Genomic DNA, 21,217 nt, shown 5'->3' with positions numbered 1-21,217 from the left:
GGTGGAATGACACAGGCCAAAGAGGGCTTGATCCCAAGAAATGGCTTGGTAGCAGAGGATAAGAACTAAGGAATGTCTCTTTACCTATCTGACCCAGCTCCTGGGCCCTCTCTTACAGACGGACCTAACTCCCTGATTCACCATTGTGGAGCTGGCTGACAGAAGGGTCTAGAAAAAGCAGCATGGTTAAAAACCAAACTTAGGCCAGGCATGGTGGCTCATGCCTGTAATCCCAGCACTTTGGGAGGCCGAGGCAGGCAGATCATGAGGTCAGAAGTTCAAGAGGAGCCTGACCAACTTGTTGAAACTCTGTCTCTACTAAAAATACTTAAAAAAAAAAAATTAGCCAGGCATGGTGGTGGGTATCTGTAATCCCAGCTACTCAGGAGGCTGAGGCAGGAGAATCGCTTGAACCTGGGAGGCAGAGGTTGCAGTGAGCCGAGACTGTGCCACTTGCACTCCAGCCTGGGCGACAGGGGGTAGGCCAGGCGCAGTGGCTCACGCCTGTAATCCCAGCACTTCTGGAGGCCGAGGTGGTTAGATCACCTGAGGTCAGGAGTTCAAGACCAGCCTGGCCAACGTGGCGAAACACCATCTCTAATAAAAATACAAAAATTAGCCAGGCGTGGTGGCACATGTCTGTAGTCCCAGCTACTCTAGAAGCTGAGGCAGGAGAATCACTTGAACCCGGGAGGCAGAGGTTGCAGTGAGCCGAGATAGCACCACTGTCACTCCACCCTGGGTAACAGAGCAAGACTCTATCTAAAAAAAAAAAAAAAATTAACTTAAAACCTCACTAATTCTGACCCAGAATGCCTGAGTTCAAATTCAGAATCTGCGGCTTAGTACTTCTGGGGCTTTGAAAAAATGATTTTACCTCTCTACGCCTCCAGATCCTTGCCTGTAAAATGTGGATAATAACATCAGGATAATAACAGTAAAGGCTGTGCAACTCTAACCCAAAAATCCAAAATGCTTCAGGCCAGGAGCGGTGACTCACACCTGTAATCCCAGCACTTTGCGAGGCCAAGGTGGGCAGATTGCTTGAGTCCAGGAATTCAAGACCAACCTGGGCAACATAGCGAAACCCTGTCTCTACAAAAAATATAAAAAATTAGCCAAGGCTGGGCACGGTGGCTCATGCCTATAATCCCATCACTCTGGGAGGCCAAGGTGGGCAGATCACTTCAGTTCAGGAGTTCAAGACCAACCTGGCCAACACAGTGAAACTCCGACCCTACTAAAACTACAAAAATTAGCCAGAAGTGGTGGCACACGCCTATAATCCCAGCTACTCAGGAGGCTGAGACAGGAGAATCACTTGAACCCAGGAGGCGGAGATTGCAGTGAGCCAAGAACGCGCCACTTGCACTCCAGCCTGGGCACCAGAGCGAGACTTGAGATTCCAGACTCCGTCTCAAAAAAAAAAAAAAAAAAAAAAATCCAGTCACAGTGCATGCCTGTAGTCCCAGCTACTCAGGTGGCTGAGATGGGAGGATCACTTGAGCCCAGGAGGTCATGGTTGCAGTGAGCTGTGATTGTGCCACCGTACTTCAGCCTGGGCAACAGAGCAAGACCCTATCTCATTATATAAAGCTTCAAAATCTGAAATTTGACACCACAAGTGGAAAAGTCTACACCTGACCTCAAGTGAGGAGTCACAGTCAAAATGCAGTCAAAACTCTGTTTCATGCACAAAAATTATTTAAAATATTGTATAAAATTACCTAAGGTTTATATAAGGCCATGCACAGTGGCTCACATTGTAATCCCAGCACTTTGGGAGGCCAAAGCGGGTGGATCACTTGAGGTCAGGAGTTCGAGACCAGCCTGGCTAACAGGGTGAAACCTCATCTCTACTAAAAATACAAAAATTAGCTGTGCGTGGTGGGAAGCCCCTGTAATCTCAGCTACTCAGGAGGCTGAGGCAGGAGAATCGTTTCGACCTGGGAGGTAGAGGTTGCAGTGAGCCGAGATCACACCACTGCATTCCAGCCTGGGGAACAAGCGTGAAACTCTGTCTCAAAAAAAAAAAAAAAAAAAAGGGTTTATATAAAACATAAATGAATTTCCTGTTCAGATTTGGGTCCCATCCCCAGGATATCTCATTATGTATATGCGAATATTCCAAAATCTGAAAAAAATTAAAAATCCAAAACACTTTCAGCCCCAAGCATTTTGGATAATGGTTATTTAACCTGTACTCCTTCATAGGATGTATATGAGTTTGTGAATAGCAGTCTACCCACTGCAAACTCACTCCCATGATGTATGAGATAGTTTACAGGGTTTATGTCCATAAGCAAGCAAAAAAAGAAGCAAGTGACTTTTTGTTTGTTTGTTTGTTTGTTTTGTTTTGTTGTGAGAGTCTCGCTTTGTTGTCCAGGCTGGATGGAGTGCAGTGGCATGATCTTGGCTCACTGCAATCTCCGCCTCCCAGGTTCAAGCCATTCTCCTGCCTCATCTTCTTGAGTAGCTGGGACTACAGATGCATCCCACCATGCCTAGCTAATTTTTGTATTTTTAGTAGAGATGGGGTTTTACTATGTTGGCCAGGCTGGTCTTGTACTCCTGACCTCAGATGATCCACTCGCCTTGGCCTCCCAGAGTGCTAGGATTACAGGCATGAGCCACCAAGCCCAGCACCAGGTTGGACACCTGATTAACAGACCCACTGATAGTGACCTGCCATTACTGTCTACATGCAAGTCGCAGTGGCTCACGCCTGTAATCCCAGCACTTTGGGAGGCCGAGGCGGGCGGATCACAAGGTCAAGAGACCTGGCCAACATGGTGAAACCCCATCTCTACTAAAAATACAAAAAATGAGCCGGGTGTGGTGGCAGGTGCCTGTAGTCCCAGCTACTTGGGAGGCTGATTCAGGAGAATGGCATGAACCCGGGAGGTGGAGCTTGCAGTGAGCCGAGATCACGCCATTGCACTCCAGCCTGGGCAACAGAGCGAGACTCCGTCTCAAAAAAAAAATTAAAAAATAAATAAAATAAAATAAAACAATAGAAAAATTAGCTGGGTGTGGTGGTGCACACCTGCAGTCCCAGCTACTGGGGAGGCTGAGGCAGGAGAATCGCTTGAACCTGGGAGGTGAAGGTTGCAGTGAGCTGAGATCGTGCCACTGCACTCCAGCTTGGGTGACAGAGGGAGACTCCATCTCAAAAAATAAAAAGAAAAAGAAACAGTTCATTCAGGTATTTTAAATATATCCCTCTGCCTTTCTTCATGTCCCTTGAAAAGGGGCTTTGCCTTGAGAATTAAACTCCAGCCGCCTAAAGTTTCCCAAATGCCTAAATGAGAGGAAGCCAACTTAACGAGGTCTTGCTGCGGTAAAACTGGCAAGTGAAACTCAGTCCCTACTCAGGTGCAGGTGAATACACAGTCATCCCAACCAAAAGGTCTTCCTGAGTTCAGCCCAACTCACTTTGCAGACACCGGGGCACAAAGCCAATCGCAAGCACCTCAAGTGGAGAGGAAAAACACTAATCCAGCACATGGTCTTGAATGGCACTTCACACTATGCCTTTAATGCCAATGTGCCCAGGAAACACCCCAGAAGCCCTCTTCTCGGCCCCCACAATGTCTCCTTGCTCCTTTCCCTTTGGACTACTGAGCCCCCACTCCACTAATTGGACCTACTATTCTGAAGACTCAAAGCCAGCTCAGACCTGGGTTCAAATCCAAGTTCCATCATTTTGTTCATTCAACAAAACACTTATCCAGTGCCTAATACATGCCAAGTGCTGACATCCAAAAGAATTGGGCTAAGAGGATATAAAAGCAGACCATCTCAAAGTGGGTGAGCTTGGGCAAATGAACTCACCTCTCTCAGCACAGCTTCCCTCATCTGTAAAATGGGAATACAAACAGCCATCTCTCAGAGTTCGTGTAAGGATCAAATGCCTGGCATTGTACCTGGTGTAAGGTAAGTGCTTGGTAATTGCTAGCTATTATATTATAAGCTATTATCTTGTTATTAATATAATCAGTATCATCAGGATACAATCCCTTGAGATGTTGCAAGATTTTAAATCATCCAAAAAGTAAATCTGCAGATACGCGTATTAACCACCGCTTAAGGGGGAAATGAACACTTTAGGCTAAGTAAAGCAGAGTGACCAAAAGTCTTCCTAGTTAACCAGCCTGGCCCCTACTCCCACTCATTTCCCCAGCTTTCTGGTGAAGTGGAATTTTCCTGTTTCTCCATATGGGCTCCTCCCAGGCACACGGAAGCTCAGCTGCAGGCCGGGTGTTCTAAGTCGCTGCATCTCTCCCTTCCAACCAGTTCTCAAACTTATAGAGATTTTTTAAATGCTTGCAAGCCCAGCAGAATTCTGATTCTTACAATCACACTCTGCCCACAGCGGACACACAGAGCACAATCAGCCATGTGGAGGCAAAGCCGTCCCACGAAACAGGGGGTCACAATGCATTTGGGTGAAACCTGGCAGCAGCTGCCCAAGGGCTACCAAGAAACCACACGAAATCATCATCCCAAAGAGGTTTTGCAATGTGCACAAAATAAAAAGGAAAACAGAAAACAAAATCTCAAAGAAAACCTGTCACTTCTCTAAGGCCATGTCTTGATTTTTTTTTCCTCCTCTTTCTTCAGAGATGTCAATAAGATTTAAAACATAGCCTGTTAAAAGATTGCCTAAAGAAGGCGTGGACAGTCAAGAAAGAGAAATTCAAAGAACTCCTGGTGCCCCAAGCTTACCAGCGCAAGGCATAAAAACAAGGGTCAGCCACTTGGCACCCTGTTTCGGGACCATCGCCAGCCTCTGGTTCAGTCCAAAGACCAGTGTGGATTTCCTCCTCCTGCACTGGCCATGTTCTATGAGAATGGGAAAGCAAAAGTCCACGCTGTCAACAAGCCAAGGGAGATGCGAAAATGCCCAGAACACACACACGTGGAGAGTTCAGTTTTGAGTGTGGTTTAAAGAGTGGGAAGTCAGACCAATTCTGGTGTTTGAATCCCAGGCCACCAACTACTTCCTGAGAGACCCTGGGGGGGTTACTTAACCTCTCTGAACCTCAGTTTACTCTTCTATAAAATGGGAGGTAACTACTTTCAGAGTTGTTCCCAAATCATAATTGCAGGCAGCAGCTTATAGTAGTACACCCAGCATATGGCAAGCGCTCAAGAAATGTCAGCTCTTACCACCGTTGCTATTCTTATTCCAAAGTTGGTAATTGCCTCATTTGGTGATTTGGGCAATAATGTCAGGAAGTGCTTTTTGTTGCTGTTATCCAACAATGCAGTATGTTATCAGAAACTTACTTCCTAGGAGGTGTACATAAAAAGGGAAGGTGTGTGGTGAGAAAAAGAAAACAATAATAAGTAGCAGAATCATCTAACATTTGCAGTCTTACCATACAGAATGCACTCTGATATTTTACCCATTTTCCGGATGAGTTTTCAGGAAACTGAGCTGGAAAAGAGCTCAGGCAACCCGCCCAAGGTCACAGAATTTGGAAGCGAAGGTTACGAGGGCAGGAAACATGTTTGTCTCACTGTGCCCCTGTGCCAAGCATGAATGGTTCTCTTTAAGCCTCATTTAACATTCGACAAATATTTATTGATGCCAGCACTTTGCCGGGCATTATGCTGGGTATACTAGAGACAGAAGAGAACGATCACAGGGCTTAGGAGTCAGGTGACCTGGGTGACAAATCCCAGCTGGCACTCAACTGCTGTGTGACAATGAGCAGAGAGTTAGTCTCTCCGACCTTCAGTTATTGTGAAATAATTTCCCCTCATCCCACCTCCCTCATTCTGTAGATGCAAAGAGTCCATTAAACAACACCTAGCTAGCTGGCTGCTTTGGCAGGGCCTCAGAATTCATTCAACACTGGTTCCCTCCCCTCTGTCCCCCTCACACCCCCTCTACCTCCCAAAACAAGCCCTGGTTAACGCATCTATAAAATGAAGGTAATAGTAATATCCCTTCAGAGGGCTGTGGTGAGAACTAAATGAGGTCAAGTATTTGAAAAGTACTTAGACTGTAAAGTATTATAAAAACACAAGTTATTATTATTACAGGAATGCACCCCGCCTCTGCACCCAGCTGCCTCTTTGCAACCAGGAATTGGCTCTTTGCACCATGTCAGCAAAGCACACTCCATCAGGTAAAGCCCATCTGGTCCTCCAGCCCTGGATGAAAGGGAGAGGGAGAGTAGGGGGTTAGGAGGAGGGTGTGAACAGGAGCCGAGCTCTGCAGGATGCTCATTTCCAGGCAGGAAGAAGGACCACACAGCTGGAAGAATCCAGACACACGGGGTGAGGAGAGGGGGAGGTGGCTCTGCCACTCCTGAGATGGTGCCCATGACCTTCTTCCCAGCTGCCTCCCATCAGCATGGAGGCCGCCACATCTGTCTTCCTACCCACGTCAATCAAAGAAGCATTCCCAGGCCCCTCCAGTAGGTCAGGCACGTTCTGGACAACAAGGACCCTAAGGTGAGCTGTGAGGCAGCATGGCTGCCCTCACTGACCTCATTATCTTCAGGCCCAGAAGATTCATTAATTAAAACAACACAACACACACACTCACTTCTAAAAAGCTTACCCTCGGGCCACAGCACTTTCCAGTATTTTAAGAGGCATCCACCCACTCACCACCTATTATTCCTGCTTTTAAAGAAGGGCAAAGGTGACATTTCAGCAGGCCACCGGCTCAAAGGTTACAACAAAGAAACCAACAGGGGGGTTCTGGGTTGTCAAGCCTTTAACATAACGTAAACCTGCCTCCATCCGTATCACTGCACTTAAACTGTCAAACAAGGCGATGGTTTACTTTTCGTTAAGGGGCAGGTGTCAAGACTGGCTGAAGTCCACATGAAAAAAAAAAAAATGTCAGCTGTTCATGTGACCGCCTGCACACCTGAAAAATCAATATATCCAAAACACTCATCCACTTACCACTTTAAAACAGCAAAAGAAAAAAATCAACCACCTTTGACAATGCTTTTCTCCAAGTGGATTGGACCCTTTTTTTTTGTCTCTAAACATTATTTTAAATCGAAAGTACAATTTAAAACATATTTTCAGTTTATTTTTCAGTAAACTATCAGATAGCTATAACTTACAGAGGACCCAAGAGATGAAAGGGGTGACCAAGATTGGTGACATTTGAATTTGGCTGCAGAAACCCAACGGTTCAATTATGTCTGTGGAGTGAAGTCCTATGACCAAAAAGGGCAAAGCCCAAAGGGTCCCCTACTTCTCGCCACCACCCAGAAGGACTCATGGGCCACCCCCCCACAACCATTAGTGAGTCTTTCTAACGAGGACACATTCCTGAGACCTAGTTTGGTGTCACTGCCTTTATTACTGTGTCAATCAGGCAAGCAGGAGCGACTGTTAACCCCTGACTGACCCCAGATCCCACCAGAACGGCAGCCTCAACCACGCCGGGGTTAAGAGACTCCTGCTCTGTCACCATGGTGTGTCCAACATGTTTCTTTGACATCTCAAGCCAAGACACACGACATTCCTGTCCGTGAGGACTTCCCCAAAGGTGCTTGCTGGCAGAGAGAAGAGTGAGGATGCTCTACCATTCACTGCTTCCACCTTCTCTATCTGCCAGGACAGGTGCAATTTCTTACACTGGGTCCCATTGGCCCGGGACCCTCCCAAGATTTGTCCCTCCCTCTTGTGCTCCCTCTGGACGCTGCTTGGGTTTCCACCATCACACCCACAAGAACTTTCTTCACTTCCTGACTCTCCCAGCTGCCTCCCAGAGCCAGGCCCTGTTCCTCCCAGCACCGCAGCTGGCCGGTGCTAGGTGACCAGGAAATGTACACTGGACAAACAGATCCCGGCAGTCCACCCCAGCCAGAGGGAATCCCCAAAGCAGGCACAAACAAAAGGACTCAGGAGAGAGGCCAGGTGCAGTGGCTCACGCCTGTAATCCCAGCACTTTGGGAGGTCAAGACAGGCGGATCACTCGAGGTCAGGAGTTTGAGACCAAACTGGTCAACAGGGTGAAACCCTGTCTCTACTAAAAATACAAAAAAATACCCAGGCATGGTAGTGGGCACCTGTGATCCCAAATACTCAGGAGGCTGATGCATCATTTTATAGATGCATTTTGTAGATTGCTTGAACCTGGGAGGCAGCGGTTGCAGTGAGCCGAGACCGCGTCACTGCACTCCAATCTGGCAACAGAGTCTCTGTCTTTAAAAAAAAAAAAAAAAAAAAAAAAAGGACTCAGGAGAAAGCCTGCAAGGACCACTCAGTCTTTGGCTAGAGGGGAACCTTTCATGAAAGCAACATGTCACAGAGGCCTGAGAAGACCACTCACACTGCCCAACCCAGCATTCTCGGAGCCCAAAGGACAGAAAGAATGCAGCAGAGAACAACAGGGCAACACTCCCCAGAAAGATGACTTCACCTCCTCCCACCTCTTAAGAGTGGGTGATCTTTATTGAGCACCTACTATGTTATGTGCAGGCACTGGTCAAACGCTTTACGCAGCTCATGTAATCATCACCACCACTGACAATATAAATGTATGTGTTACCTCAACAGTCAGTGATGGAATCAGGGGCATGCATTAAATTATTCAGTGTCTCTTAGTGACCATAGTTCCCCCAGCACCCAGCACTGTGCCATCTCCACTGTGGGGACCCAGAACTACATGCTGACCACCCAAATGTTACCTTACTCTGCTCTCTCCAGCCCTTTTAATACACTAAGTTTATTTGTTTGCAAAAAGGATGCATTTTAAAGACCCCAGGTTTACATCTGCCCGCTCTGGATCTCAGCTTTCTAATCCATAAAATGAATAGAAACGTAACTCTGTTTGCAGTGCTGCTATGAAAAGTAAGAGACCCCATTAATAGGCCCAGCATAGGATTCAATAAAAACTTGTTTCCCATTGTCCTTTTTCTGAGAAATAAGGTGACTGGGACAGGAATGTTATCCCAATAATGACATGGCTTCAGAGATTCTCTCTGCTGGGCACACATCCTGCAAGTAGAAGGACACTGGATGGAGGGCAGGAAGTCTGCGGTGACCAGAGAGGGTGTCTCCAGTGGACCAGCCTTTCCCTGGCTCAACTGCAATAGGCCACACCCAAGAGAGCCCTCTGCTCCCTCCTCCTTCCCAGCCAGGCTCCAGCCAAGGAACACAGGGTTCCCCCAAGAATTTGTATTTAAAGATGTCTCCGTCACTGCAGTAAAGTTTGCAAAGAAGACGGCATGGGCAGGTGAAAAGTCCACCCGAGGAGGAAGTGGGCACATGGGATGCTGAGCTCCCGCTCCACCACTGGTCATTTGTTTCCTCGTGGGTAAAATGGGATAACGCCAGCTTCTACCAACCACACAGCACCCTGCATCAGAGCAGTCACTCCTGGCTCACAGAGGAAATCAATGAGAAAAGTCTCAGGCTCTGCCCCAGATATTACTGCCCTGTGGGACCAGAATCCCTCATGGTTTAAGAAAGTCTTACCAACTAAACACAGGGTCACTATAAGAAATCATTCTGGACAGTAGATCTCTATCAATTTTTGGCTTCATGACAGGCTAGGATTTGAGTATTCCTGGCTGTTCCATGTTTATAGGAGACAGAGTGGAAAGGAGTGTGTTGAGGAGTGGAGAAGAGATATCGCTGGTACAAAAATCCCCTTCTCTGCTTGCTGGGGGCTCTTTGCAAACTGGACATGAGCCTCAAGAAGTGGTCAGTCCTCTGGGTTTCTGAGCCTCCGGGCAGAGAGACACCAGCAAGTTTAGAGAACTGCCAGGCAGCAGAAGCTGCCAGGGGCACACGAGAGTGCTCCCGCGTGGGATGCTGTCAGGATCTGGTGGGCAGCGGAGGCATTCAGGGGACAGTGGCTTCTGATTAGCTGGCGGGTGCAGGTGCCCATCATGCTACTAAGGGGGAAAGTAAATCAAATCTTTCCTTTAAAAAAAAAAAGCCTGGCCCCATGATGTTCCTTTCCTCCCTCTCCACCAGCAGGGCAAATAAAACAACTCTCCAGCAGCTGATGAATTCAATTCCAGTCGAAGTCAGCTGGGATGAAGGAAGGGAAAGAGCGGAGAGCTCCCCACTCTGTCTCCAGGCTCTGCCGGAGCTTCAGGGTGCCCGCCTCGGCATGCCAAAATTGCACAAAGAAATGAAATATTACACACACTTGAGACCTACATGAATCAATCCAGAACATGCTGCGATAGAAAGGATAATTCTGAATCCCCACCCTCTCACCTCAAGTACATCCAGATCCCCAGGAAGCAAGCTGATTCCCCAGATATCATTAAATTTAGTAAACTTTAAATTTAAAACAAATACACCAGCCAGGCTCATGCCTGTAATCCCAGCACTTCGGGAGGCCGAGGTGGGCTGATCCCTTGAGGTCAGGAGTTTGAGACCAGCTTGGACAACACGGCAAAACCCAATCTCTACTAAAAATATTTTAAAACTAGCCAAGCATGGTAGCACGTGCCTGTAATCCCAGCTACTCAGGAGGCTAAGGCAGGAGAATCACTTGAAACTGGGCAGCAGAGGTTGTAGTGAGCCGAGATCACACCACTGCACTCCAGCCTGGGCAACAAAGCAAGACTCCGTCTCAATTAAAAAAAAAAAAAAATACACCAAGCATGGCCTAGCCTAGCAATACAGTACTTTAGTACGCCCTTTAGTACTGATTTATTACTGCGTTACCCTCAGGCAGATGGTCTTAACCCCAGACCCCAAGGAATGGCAGCCGCAACCTTGCCAGGTAAGGAAACCCCTGCTCTGTCACCACAGTGGGACCAATGTGTTTCCTTCACATCACTTGTCCACAATCTGAAGCACACGTTACGTTACTGATTCTCATCCTTCACTTTCTTCCATGTTTCTTTAATAAAGAAAATCAATTGAGCACAGGCACAGTGGCTCACGCCTGTCATCTCAGCACTTTGAGAGGCCAAGGTGTGAACCTTTGGCATCTTTGAGGCCCAGGAGTTTGAGACCAGCCTGGGCAACATAGTGAGACCCCCATCTCTACAAAAAAAAATTTTTTTTAATTAGCCAGGAGTGGTGGCGCATGCCTGTAGTATATAGTCCCAGTTACCTGGGAGGCTGAGGCAGGGGGATTGCTTGAGCCCAGGTGTTTGAGGCTGCAGTGCAGTGAGCTGTGTGCAGTGAACTGTTTTCATGCCACTGCACTCCAGCCTGGGCGACAGAGCTGAACCTGATCTCAAAAAAAAAAAAAAAAAAAAAGCTCATCAGGCAGGAAAAGCCCAGCAGGAGGATCACACCTGGCACGAGGCAGGGAGCTGCCAGGGCCTCATGCGCCTCCATTCTGGGGCAAGCTAATAATAAATAATAATACTTTGTGCTTCTCCGGTGCCTTTCATCTGAGGATTTCAAAGTGCTCTGCAAACATTAACTAATTATTCCTCACAGAATCCTGCAGAGACAGCAGAGGAATGGGATTGATGTGGCCTGGACAGGCAAAAATTTCAGAGTTTCTGCTTTCTTGAAACGGAATCTTGTTCTGTTGCCCAGGCTGGAGTGCAATGGTGTGATCTCAGCTCACTGCAACCTCCACCTCATAGGTTCTGGAGATTCTCCTGCCTCAGCCTCCCAAGTAGCTGGGCTTACAGGCGTCCGCTACCACGCCCAGCTAATTTTTGTATTTTTAGTAGAGATGGGGTTTCACCATGTTGGCCAGGCTGGTCTCAAACTCCTGGCCTAAGTGACCACCTGCCTCGGCCTCCCAGCGTGCTGGGATTATAGGCATGAGCCACTACAGCCAGCCAAAACTTCAGAATTTCTAATGTCCAAGGATTCCAGACTTTCCCAAGGTTGAAGTCTCCCATAAAGGACAGAAGGAGGAAATCTCCTTTTAGTTTTTGTTTGTTTGTTTGTTTGTTTTTGTGAGATGAAGTCTCGCTCTGTCGCCCAGGCTGGAGGGCAGTGGCACAATCTTGGCTCACTGCAGCCTCCGCCTCCTGGGATCAAGCAATTCTCCCTGCCTCAGCCTCCCGAGTAGGTGGCATTACAGGCGCCCACCACCACACCTGGCTAATTTATGTATTTTTAGTAGAGACGGGGTTTCGCCATGTTGGTCTTGAACTCCTGACCTCAGGTGATCCGCGCCCCCTCGGCCTCCCAAAGTGCTGGGATTACAGGCATGCGCCACCACGCCCAGCCAATCTACTCCTTTTAGGATGGAGGATTAGCACTGGGCTTCCTGAATTCTCACATTGACATAATCAACCAATAAAGCTCCCAATGTCAAGAAGGTATTTCCATTCTAGAAGCATCCTTGGCCCTGAAATTAACCCTCGCAAAACTACCACCAAACTGTCTAAATCAGGTCCCAGAAGGAGTGTAACTAGCAGCAGATGACCTTCTCATGGGTCCCTGAAGCCCCCTGCTATGCCCCAGGGTAGGGGGCTTTATAGTTACTGGGTCCTGGGTGTTAGGAAGAGAATGCAGAGCGTGGACATTTTTCAGAATTTTAACCATCACTGTTTCAGCTGAATGCCGACCTGGGAACTAACCCATTCCCTGTCTAACCACCCTTCTTAATAAGGACCACGCACTCGAGGCACATGCCCTTGGTGCGTCTACCCCTGTCCTCCTGTGTTAACTCAACTTCTTTTTGCATCCAAGTTTTGAGACAGCGCAGGGACCCCTTTTAGGGGCCTGCAGGGCAATACCCCCCAACATAAAAATTTTTAAAAACTTCAGTTCCTTCTAAAGAAATTCCAGGCAGCTAGCTAGCTTTAAAAAATAAGTTAACAACTCAATAAACAAAAAAAAACAGTGGCTTAAAACAATAGCCAAAAAAGAGTCATGGGGCGTTGTTTGGTTCCCTATAAATACCAATAATATCATCTCAATACATGTCCCTGACTTGTTTTTCAGAAAGATGGACCCCACCAAATGGATCCAGTGGTCCGTAGACCTCAGATCAGGAGAAAGTGGGGACTAAGCTCCAACTGCCTTTCTTTGCTCTAAAGTTCTTTCCAAGGAGGGGCCTAGAAAAAGACATGCCCACGAGCCAGACCTAACATTTCTTTCTGCTGACCCCAAATCTTTAATCAAAGCTTATCTTCCTTAACCAATTACAAACCAAAAAAATCTTTAAATCCACTTATGACCTATGAGCCCCCACTTCAAAATATCCCATCTTTTTAGGCCAAACCAATGTCTTACCTCCCTGTATTAATTTACCATTTTGCCTAGAACTTCTGTTTCCCTAAAATTTACCCCTTTCTTTAAAAACACTTGCTTACAGGCCAGGCACTGTGGCTCATGCCCGTAATCCCAGCACTCTGGGAGGTCAAGGCAGGAGGATCACTTGAGGTCAGGAGCTGGAAACTAGCCTGGGCAACATGGTGAAACCCCATCTCTACTAAAAAGACAAAACTTAGCCAGGTGTGGGGGCGCACGCCTGTAGTCCCAGCTATTCAGGAGGCTGAGGCAGGAGAATCGCTTGAACCTGGGAGGCGGAGGTTGCAGTGAGCTGAGATCACGCCACTGCACTCCAGCCTGGGTGACAGAGCAAGACTCAGTCTGAAAAAAAAAAAAAAAAAAAAAACCACTTGCTTATAAACCATGGGAGAGGTCAGGTCTTAAGCGTGAGCTGCTGGATTTGCCCTGCTTGGTGACCTACAAATAAATACCTTCCTTTCTCCCACTGCAAACCTCAGTATGAATACTGGGCCGGACTGCACCAGGCGAGAAGACCCCACATGGGTTCGTTAAGTTTCAGCAACACGCGTAGAGTAACAGAAGGAAGCCGGATGTGTGGGGCGCCTCAGTCAGTCAGCACTTACTGATTCTCACAAATCAGTCAAAATTAATCATGTGAACTACATTTGAGTGTTATTTTTAAGAAAAATATTTTGGTTCCTTCAAACACTTAAGATAACCCCAAAATATGCAAAGCAAATATTCCCTAGACAGATCCAGAAGGAAGCTACAGAAATGAATGGTTTAGCCAGGCAGGTGCTTGTATGTAAATGACAAAGCTGTTAAGAGACCTGGAGACAAGTTAAAGGCCTTCCTGCAGCTCCTTACTCAATGCCAGCAAACCCTTTCATCACAGAGCAGAGACATTTCAGTTTTGGGTTCTGATCAAATTACCTGTAATTCAAAAGTCCTGGGTATCTCCTTCCTAAAATTCCTCTCCTCTTAGAATTCTGTCTTTCTTCCTTTGAGTGCCTTTCCACTAGTTCAGACCACCATCCTAGCAGCACACTGCTGTCCTCTGAACCCCTAGAACCCACCACAGAGACTCAACAAATATTGCTCACGTAACAAAGTAAGAACACTATCCCGATGGTTTCTCAACCCTGCTCCACTCTCCTACGTTTCATAAACGGAGCAGTCAGTCTTCCCTGATTAAAATTCAGCCAGGACTATTCCAACCCCTAAAGCAGTGCTTCTCAAAGGTTCCCACACTTTGGAATCACCTGGGCAGGTTTTATAACTACTGGTGCATGGCTCGCATTCCCCAGATGTTCTGATCTAGTTGGAATGGGATGTGACCTGGGCGTTAGAATTTTAAAGGTTTCCCAAGTGATTCTGATGTGTTGCAAAGTTTGAAAACCATTGCCAAGGCGCAGTAGCAGCAATACTCACAGGACTAAACTCAATGGCAATACTCAAGGGAGTAATACTCAACGGCAATACTCGAGGCAGTAACGCTCAAGAGCAATACTTGAGGCGGTAAAGCTCAAGAGCAATCCTTGAGGTAGTAATGCTCAACAGCAATACTCAAGGTAGTAATGCTCAACAGCAATACTCAAGGTAGTAATGCTCAACAGCAATACTCAAGGTAGCAATACTCAAGAACAAAACTCAAGGTGGTAATACTCAAGAGCAATACTCAAGGTGGTAATACTCAACAGTAATATTCAAGGTAGCAATACTCAACAGCGATACTCAAGGCAGTAGCACTCAAAAGCAATACTCAAGGTGGTAATACTCAAGAGCAATACTCAAAGTGGTTATGCTCAACAGTAATACTCAAAGTAGTAATATTCAACAGCAACACTCAAGGTAGTAATACTCAACAGCAACACTCAAGGTAGTAAAATTCGACAGTAATACTCAACAGCAATACTCAAGGTAGTAACACTTGACAGCAATACTCAAGGTAGTAATGCTCAACAGCAATACTCACGGTAGTAGCAGCAGTGCAACTGCTAAGGGCTTACAGAAATGCAAGGCCCCACCCAAGCCAACTGATATCAGAATCTACATTTTAACCAGAGCCCCAGAGAATTTGAGGCCTCATTAGCACACAGAGTTCAAAGCCCCTGAGGACAGAATACCACACAACCATTCTAGCTTGGAAACCCCCCACTACCACCAGATCTCTGGCTTGGCTCCGGTTAACCCCATCTTTCCTTCTGAGAACTCTATGGCCCTGTGCTTTTGTTCATGCTGATTCCTCTACCTGGATGCCCTTTCCTAAGCTCTGTGTAAGAAAATGACTGCTCATCTGCCAAGCCTTAAGCATTCAGGTACCATATTTTGTTCCAGTCTCCCAGGAACCACTCCTCCCCTCCTGCCACTAACCATTAAGGATACTCCAACTAAAGCAGGGTTTCTTCAAGGTAAGGACACCAACTCTGCAGGCAGATACGCCCAGATGCAAAGTCACCTTCCACCACTAATTTCCTTTTTTTTCTTTTTTTTGAGACAGGATCTCACTCTCATTGCCCAGGCTGGAGTACAGTGGCACAATGCCAGCTCACTGCAGCCGGACTCAGGTGATCCTCCCACCTCAGCCTCTCAAGTAGCTGAGACTACAGGTGCACACCACCAGGCCCGGCTAATATTTTTGTATTTTTAGTCGAGATGGGGTTTCACCCTGTTGCCCAAGCTGGTCTGGAACTCCCGAGCTCAAGAGATCTGTCCACCTCGGATTCCCAATGTGCTGGGATTATAGGCCTGAGCCACCACGCCCAGCCTAATTTCTTAACAAAGTAAGAAAACTATTGCAATGGTTTCTCAACCGTACTCCACAATATCTCCTACATTTTATAAAGGGAGCAATCACAGTCCCCCTGATTAATAATGACCTTGGTGTCCTGAGACTTAAACCTCTCTGAGATTCAGTTGTCTTGTCTACAAAATGGAGATGATACTGTCTATCTCCTTAACAGTGTGAGAATTGAGATGATGCAGGTAAAATGCTTGGAAGACTGCTTCATGGGTGTTCGGCACAGAACGCATAGGACTCAGAGCTTACTATCCTCATACGGTGATTCCCAAACTGTAAATCATTTAGAGACCTTTGAAATTACTGATGCCTGGCTCCTCCCAAAGTGGGCCCCGGGCATTGGCATTTTTATAAAAGCTCTCCAGGTGAACCTAATGTGCAGCACATTGGGGGAACCACTGCCCTAATACATGATAGGAAGAAGATATCAATGAATGAGGGTGATTGTCACAAAGAATTACTAAGACATATAACCTTTTCCACACCTGCTCCCATGACCCCCTAACTGGCTGCCCTGCCCCACCAATCTCACTCAACTAGGAGAAGGCCCTGCCCAGGAATCACAGACTCAAGCTTCTATAGGACATTGCAGGAAAACTCAAAGTTCCCAAAGCCCCCAGAACTCCATTCTCCAATCCCCAAAGGTGTGTTCCAGCCAACTAGATAACGGAACAATGAAAACAGCACCCATAGGAGCCCGTGGGTGACACACAGGGTTAAAGAAGCCCAACCAAAGACTTAAGACCCCCAAGTGAAAGGTAAATGGACTCACACAATTGTCTTTTATGGTCTCCCTTAATTACCTAAAAGAACAGTCCATGCTGCCGAACAGGCCTGGAGAAAACCTTTCATCTCTCCCTTACCTCTCCCCTTGAGACTCACCGGGTTGTCTTCAATGTATGAAAGGCTCTGTCCAGGAATGCTAACTTTAATTTACCATCCTCTAAGGAACATGAATTGAGAAGCTAAACAAATTTGACAATGGCCCTTTACAGCTTTAAGTACGGGCAAAAAAGAAGCCCATCTCAGGGACGTCATGTGAGCATCAGCTCAAGAGGGTTAGGGCAAGCAGTAACATTCCCCCTTGAGGAACATTTTAAGGTGGGTGTTTCCTCAACACCCCAGGATATGTTCCTGAAGCTTTGGAGACCCATCCCTGGAGGCTGGCATATTGTGTTTTCTGAGAATTTCCAGAAGCCCACACCCTTCGGTGGCAGGAGATGCCTTTCAACAAGGCACCAAAAGGACATGTATAATGAATGCAGGCGAGAGTCTCCAGGGCTGAAAACCTAGAACCACAGAGGACTCTTGCCAGCAACTCTGATCAAGAGATGGCAGTGATTTGCTGAGACCTCTCAGGAGGTAATGCAACTCGGAGACAGGGAAGGCTGCTCCAGGCCAACTTCCCCATCCAGCTCAAAAAATGGTGATGACCTGAAAATCAGGACAACTTGGAAGGAGTATCTTTATTTAGAGGGGAGCACAGGAAGCAACACAGGAGGGCCCCTTGGACCCCAGATGAATTCTCATCACTATAAAACTAGACTTCCGGCATGGGCAATATAGTGAGACCCCATCTCTTCAAAAAATTTAAAAATTAGTCGGGCCTGGTGGTACCAGCCTACAGTCCCAGCTACTTGGGAGTCTGAGATGGGAGGATCGCTTGAACCCAGAACGCAATGGTTACAGTGGATTGCGCCACTGTGCTCCAGCCTGGGCAACAGAGCAAGACTCAGTCTCAAAAACAAAAACAAAACAAAACAAAAAAGATGAGATTTATAGAAGCCTGAGGCTATTCCATGAGCAGAATTTTGAGGCCACACCTGGGTTGAGCAACTAATCCCTGAGCTTAGGAACAGAAAGATGAACAAGGGAGCCCTAGGAGTCAACAGATGCCCCAAACCACAAGTCACTAAAGGAGGGAAAGGAAGGCTAAGCACTTTCTCAAACTGTGGCGCTCCCAAGCATGGTTTTAGGCAGTACAAAGTGTTACTTTAGCCGTTACGGGATTATACTAATGTGTATTAAAAAATAAATAAATAAGTAGCACATCAAACCTATAATTTCACAGGTGTTAATTAAGGATTACAGTGAGACTGAGTTTAAATAAATGAATCAAATGTTTGAATGCATCAAATAAATAATAGCACAGGTAGTATACAGTTATGCCAAAAACCATGAAGGCGTTATAGCGATAAGGGATGCTTGAGAAGCCACACTAAAGAATCCAAGGGGAATTCTGGCAGCATAGTGCTGATATCATCAGGGTCTCAAGACCCCACAGAAAGGTGACGCTGAGTGCCGCTACGCAGAGAGACAGGTGTATCTGGGGGCACTGAGAGGCTAAAGGGCAGCTTCACGATGCTGGACACTGACCAGGAAGATGTCCAAGGATGCTCTGAGCATACACCAAAAAGGTACCCAACGCAGGTGTGGGGAAGATGACCATCCCCAGAGTTGAATCGTATGCCAAATAGAATCAGGGCCAAAATGGGTTTGAAAACCTCTCATACAGAGCTTTGGATGAAAATCTGAAAAAAGGAGCATTGCAGAAAATGTTAAATTAAACAACAACCAAAGTGTCTGCAAAGCTCAGCAAGAGATCAAGTGGAGAAGACGATGGGTCGCTTTCACTTTTGCATGTGATGAAATTCTCATCTCAGCCCTCAGCCCTGAGGCCCTCTCATCGCTGCTATGTCTGGGCTGCACGCTTCCCCAAGCCCCAAGTCAAGCTGCCTGCCTGCCCAGGCTTCTTTGAATTCCATCAGAATTCAGAAACACCTCGCTAAATCAGGAACAGTCAGGGGCACAGAGACACCACGCCAAAAGGCAGGCAGATAGCAAGTCCCGGAATCGGGGCAAGGATAACTTCAGAGTCTCATCCCATGGGGCTTCCCCTCCCCAGATCCTCTCTTTGGGCTTCCTCTACCCCTCATCATGCCCTCCTACAAACATCTTCTCCCCCAAGTTTTCACACTTCCAAGGAAAATGGGGAAAGGGAAAAGCAGCTCTGACTACAGCCTGAATTCATTCCGAATGTAAAAGAAGCCCTCTTCCAATATTGGGGTGCATTTCCAGGAAAATGTGGCAGAATCACTCTGTTTACTCCAGCCTCGGTGATGCTGCCACAACGCAGCACAACCTTCAGTCAAGCTATTAACTTGAACGTTGAACTTCACAGCCTGGCTGTCTTCCTCAGCCTTCCTTTTGATGTTACCTCCAAAGCAAAAGATCAAAGGCTTTGAGTGTGGTGAGGGGAAGTCCCAAGCTCTTAGCCTACCAGCCTGTGATATATGTTAAAATCCTGGCCAAAAGAGAGTGAGCAGGAAAGGGAGCCAGCTCCAGAGGCCTGGGGTGGGCAGGGGGCAGGGGATGGAGGCTAGAGAAGGAATGAGGTTGCCCGTGACGGAGGCCTCAGGGACACACAACCCAAGTGCTTCAAACACACAGAACCCCCCAGAACGAAAGCGCCTTGGCAGGCATCACACGCCCCCACACACCTCTAAGAGAGCCAGATGCTACCCCATGATCCTTCTCTCACACAACGTGCCCCCATCCAATCATCCAACAAACTTGGGCTCACAGCCTAGGAAGAAAGCATTTGTTAACTGAATAGTCATCCCAGGTAATACACAAGGACAGAGATGCCAATGCTGAAGGGAAAGGAATGTAGTTTTAAGAGGGTGCAAAACACAGACAGGAAGATGTCTCCCTTAAGGGTGTGCCACATAAAGGACGGAAGGAAAAGGGCAGGTGCATCAGTGAGGACAGCAGGTGCAGGACTGGAAGTGGGAAGGGCAGGAGGCTGGAGAAGCTGAAAGTGCCAGCGTGGCCGGAGGGGTGAGCAGAGGCTGGCCAGCTGCACAGGACTTCCAGCAGCAGCACAGCCCTGTCCTGGGCTTTGCCCCACAGGGCATGTTTCTTATGAAGAAACATCCAGAGATGCCAACACATTTCCATTTGGGAGTGGCAAGCAGACATGAAATTAAAATTAAAACACCCATGATGATCCTATGCATATGAAGTTGGAAAAGAAAATTCAGTCTATGGCTATAGGAATCAGAAGTAGTTCCTTCTGGGAGACGGAGTCTGAAAGGGAGCAGGAAGAGCCTCTGAGATGCCAGAAAAGTTCCTTATCTTGATCTGGGTCGTGGTTACACAGGTAACACAGGAAAACCTCACAGTCCTAGATACCTAGGTCTGCGCACTTTGCTGTAATTTATACCTCAGTAAATATTAATAGGGGAGGAAAGGAAGAAAAAAAAATCCATCACTGGCCCCTGCTGCCTGATCCTCCAGCGTGAGGGATTGAGGCAGAGCCAGGCTCTAGAACATCACACTGAGTGAGCCCTCGGGCTGTGCTTGTTCTTACCCTGCAGAATGGGCTGGAAATACAAAAAGTAAGATTCAACTAAGAAAACAAACAAGCCTATCTCTAGCCCCTTTTCCCCTTTTAGAAACAGAAATTTGGCTAAAGGGATAGAGAAATTCTTATGGGACGACTTTCATTACGGCAGAATGTGCTGTTTCCCAAGTTGCCGCCTCTCCCAAGTTCCATTTTATTTCTTATAAGAAAAGTCTCTAAAAGGAATCAGAGACTCTTAGGGTCAAATTTATCCTGACTCTCCCCAAATCTAACAAGTTCTTCCTCTAGGAGACCAACAGAGCCGTTTTTCTCTCCTCCCCTCCTGGTTCTGAAACATTCCTATTGGAATGTTCTTTTCTTACCTCTGTGGATCCCCTGGACCAGTTTTGGTTTTTATTTCCCAGAACACAGAACACCTACATTCCACATTTAAACAATGACACTGTGACCGGCCCAGACAGTTCAAAGAAAACAAATCTGACAGAGGGAACTACCAGATCCATCAGCTAAAATCCTGGCCCAAACCACTCAAGAGTATTTTTTTTTCTTTCCTTCCTTATTCCAGGCAAGCAATTTGGGATAACGATGAGGACAAACACTTGGAGAATGACTTCCTCCTCCCCCCCAGCCAACCCCTTTGCAGACCACCTTTCTGGAGCAAGCCTCACCCCGAAGTACAAGGAGGGGCCACACAATCTCAAACCCTTGCGCAAACAGGGTGGCAGGGGGTGAGATAACCACAACCGCATCCTTCGGGCAAGCAGCTCAGGGCACTGTAGGAGCCACTGGGCTCTGCTAAGGGGTTGTCGAGATCAAGGGGAGAGGGTGTCTCCCAAAGCCAGAGCTGAGCCCAGCAGGTCACACCCACAATGAACCTCAGAGTAGAAAAG

The 21,217-nt window shown here is 47.1% G+C and overlaps 1 protein-coding gene across 15 annotated transcripts in view, besides 4 other annotated features; it reads right to left on the bottom strand.

Annotated features, from left to right (window-relative positions):
- The window catches only part of TCF7L2 (transcription factor 7 like 2), a 217,432-nt gene that overhangs the window by 141,018 nt on the left and 55,197 nt on the right, over positions 1–21,217 (bottom strand). The window lies entirely within an intron of this gene.
- Positions 5,858–6,395: an enhancer, noted in NCBI's record as "NANOG-H3K4me1 hESC enhancer chr10:114780025-114780562 (GRCh37/hg19 assembly coordinates)". NCBI's record gives its function as "activates a minimal SCP1, AML or CMV promoter by ChIP-STARR-seq in primed H9 embryonic stem cells {active_cell/tissue: H9 hESC(primed)}" and the evidence as "EXISTENCE:reporter gene assay evidence [ECO:0000049][PMID:30033119]".
- Positions 18,889–19,609: an enhancer, noted in NCBI's record as "NANOG-H3K4me1 hESC enhancer chr10:114766811-114767531 (GRCh37/hg19 assembly coordinates)". NCBI's record gives its function as "activates a minimal SCP1, AML or CMV promoter by ChIP-STARR-seq in naive H9 embryonic stem cells {active_cell/tissue: H9 hESC(naive)}" and the evidence as "EXISTENCE:reporter gene assay evidence [ECO:0000049][PMID:30033119]".
- Positions 19,097–19,391: a silencer, noted in NCBI's record as "tiled region #2632; K562 Repressive non-DNase unmatched - State 24:Quies". NCBI's record gives its function as "represses a minimal TATA promoter and a strong SV40 promoter by Sharpr-MPRA in K562 cells {active_cell/tissue: K562}" and the evidence as "EXISTENCE:reporter gene assay evidence [ECO:0000049][PMID:27701403]".
- Positions 19,610–20,330: an enhancer, noted in NCBI's record as "H3K4me1 hESC enhancer chr10:114766090-114766810 (GRCh37/hg19 assembly coordinates)". NCBI's record gives its function as "activates a minimal SCP1, AML or CMV promoter by ChIP-STARR-seq in naive H9 embryonic stem cells {active_cell/tissue: H9 hESC(naive)}" and the evidence as "EXISTENCE:reporter gene assay evidence [ECO:0000049][PMID:30033119]".

The sequence above is a fragment of the Homo sapiens genome, chromosome 10, assembly GCF_000001405.40.
Source record: "Homo sapiens chromosome 10, GRCh38.p14 Primary Assembly".
In the NCBI taxonomy this organism is placed as follows: Eukaryota; Metazoa; Chordata; class Mammalia; order Primates; family Hominidae; genus Homo; species Homo sapiens.
This window is presented reverse-complemented; position numbering and strand designations above follow the sequence as displayed.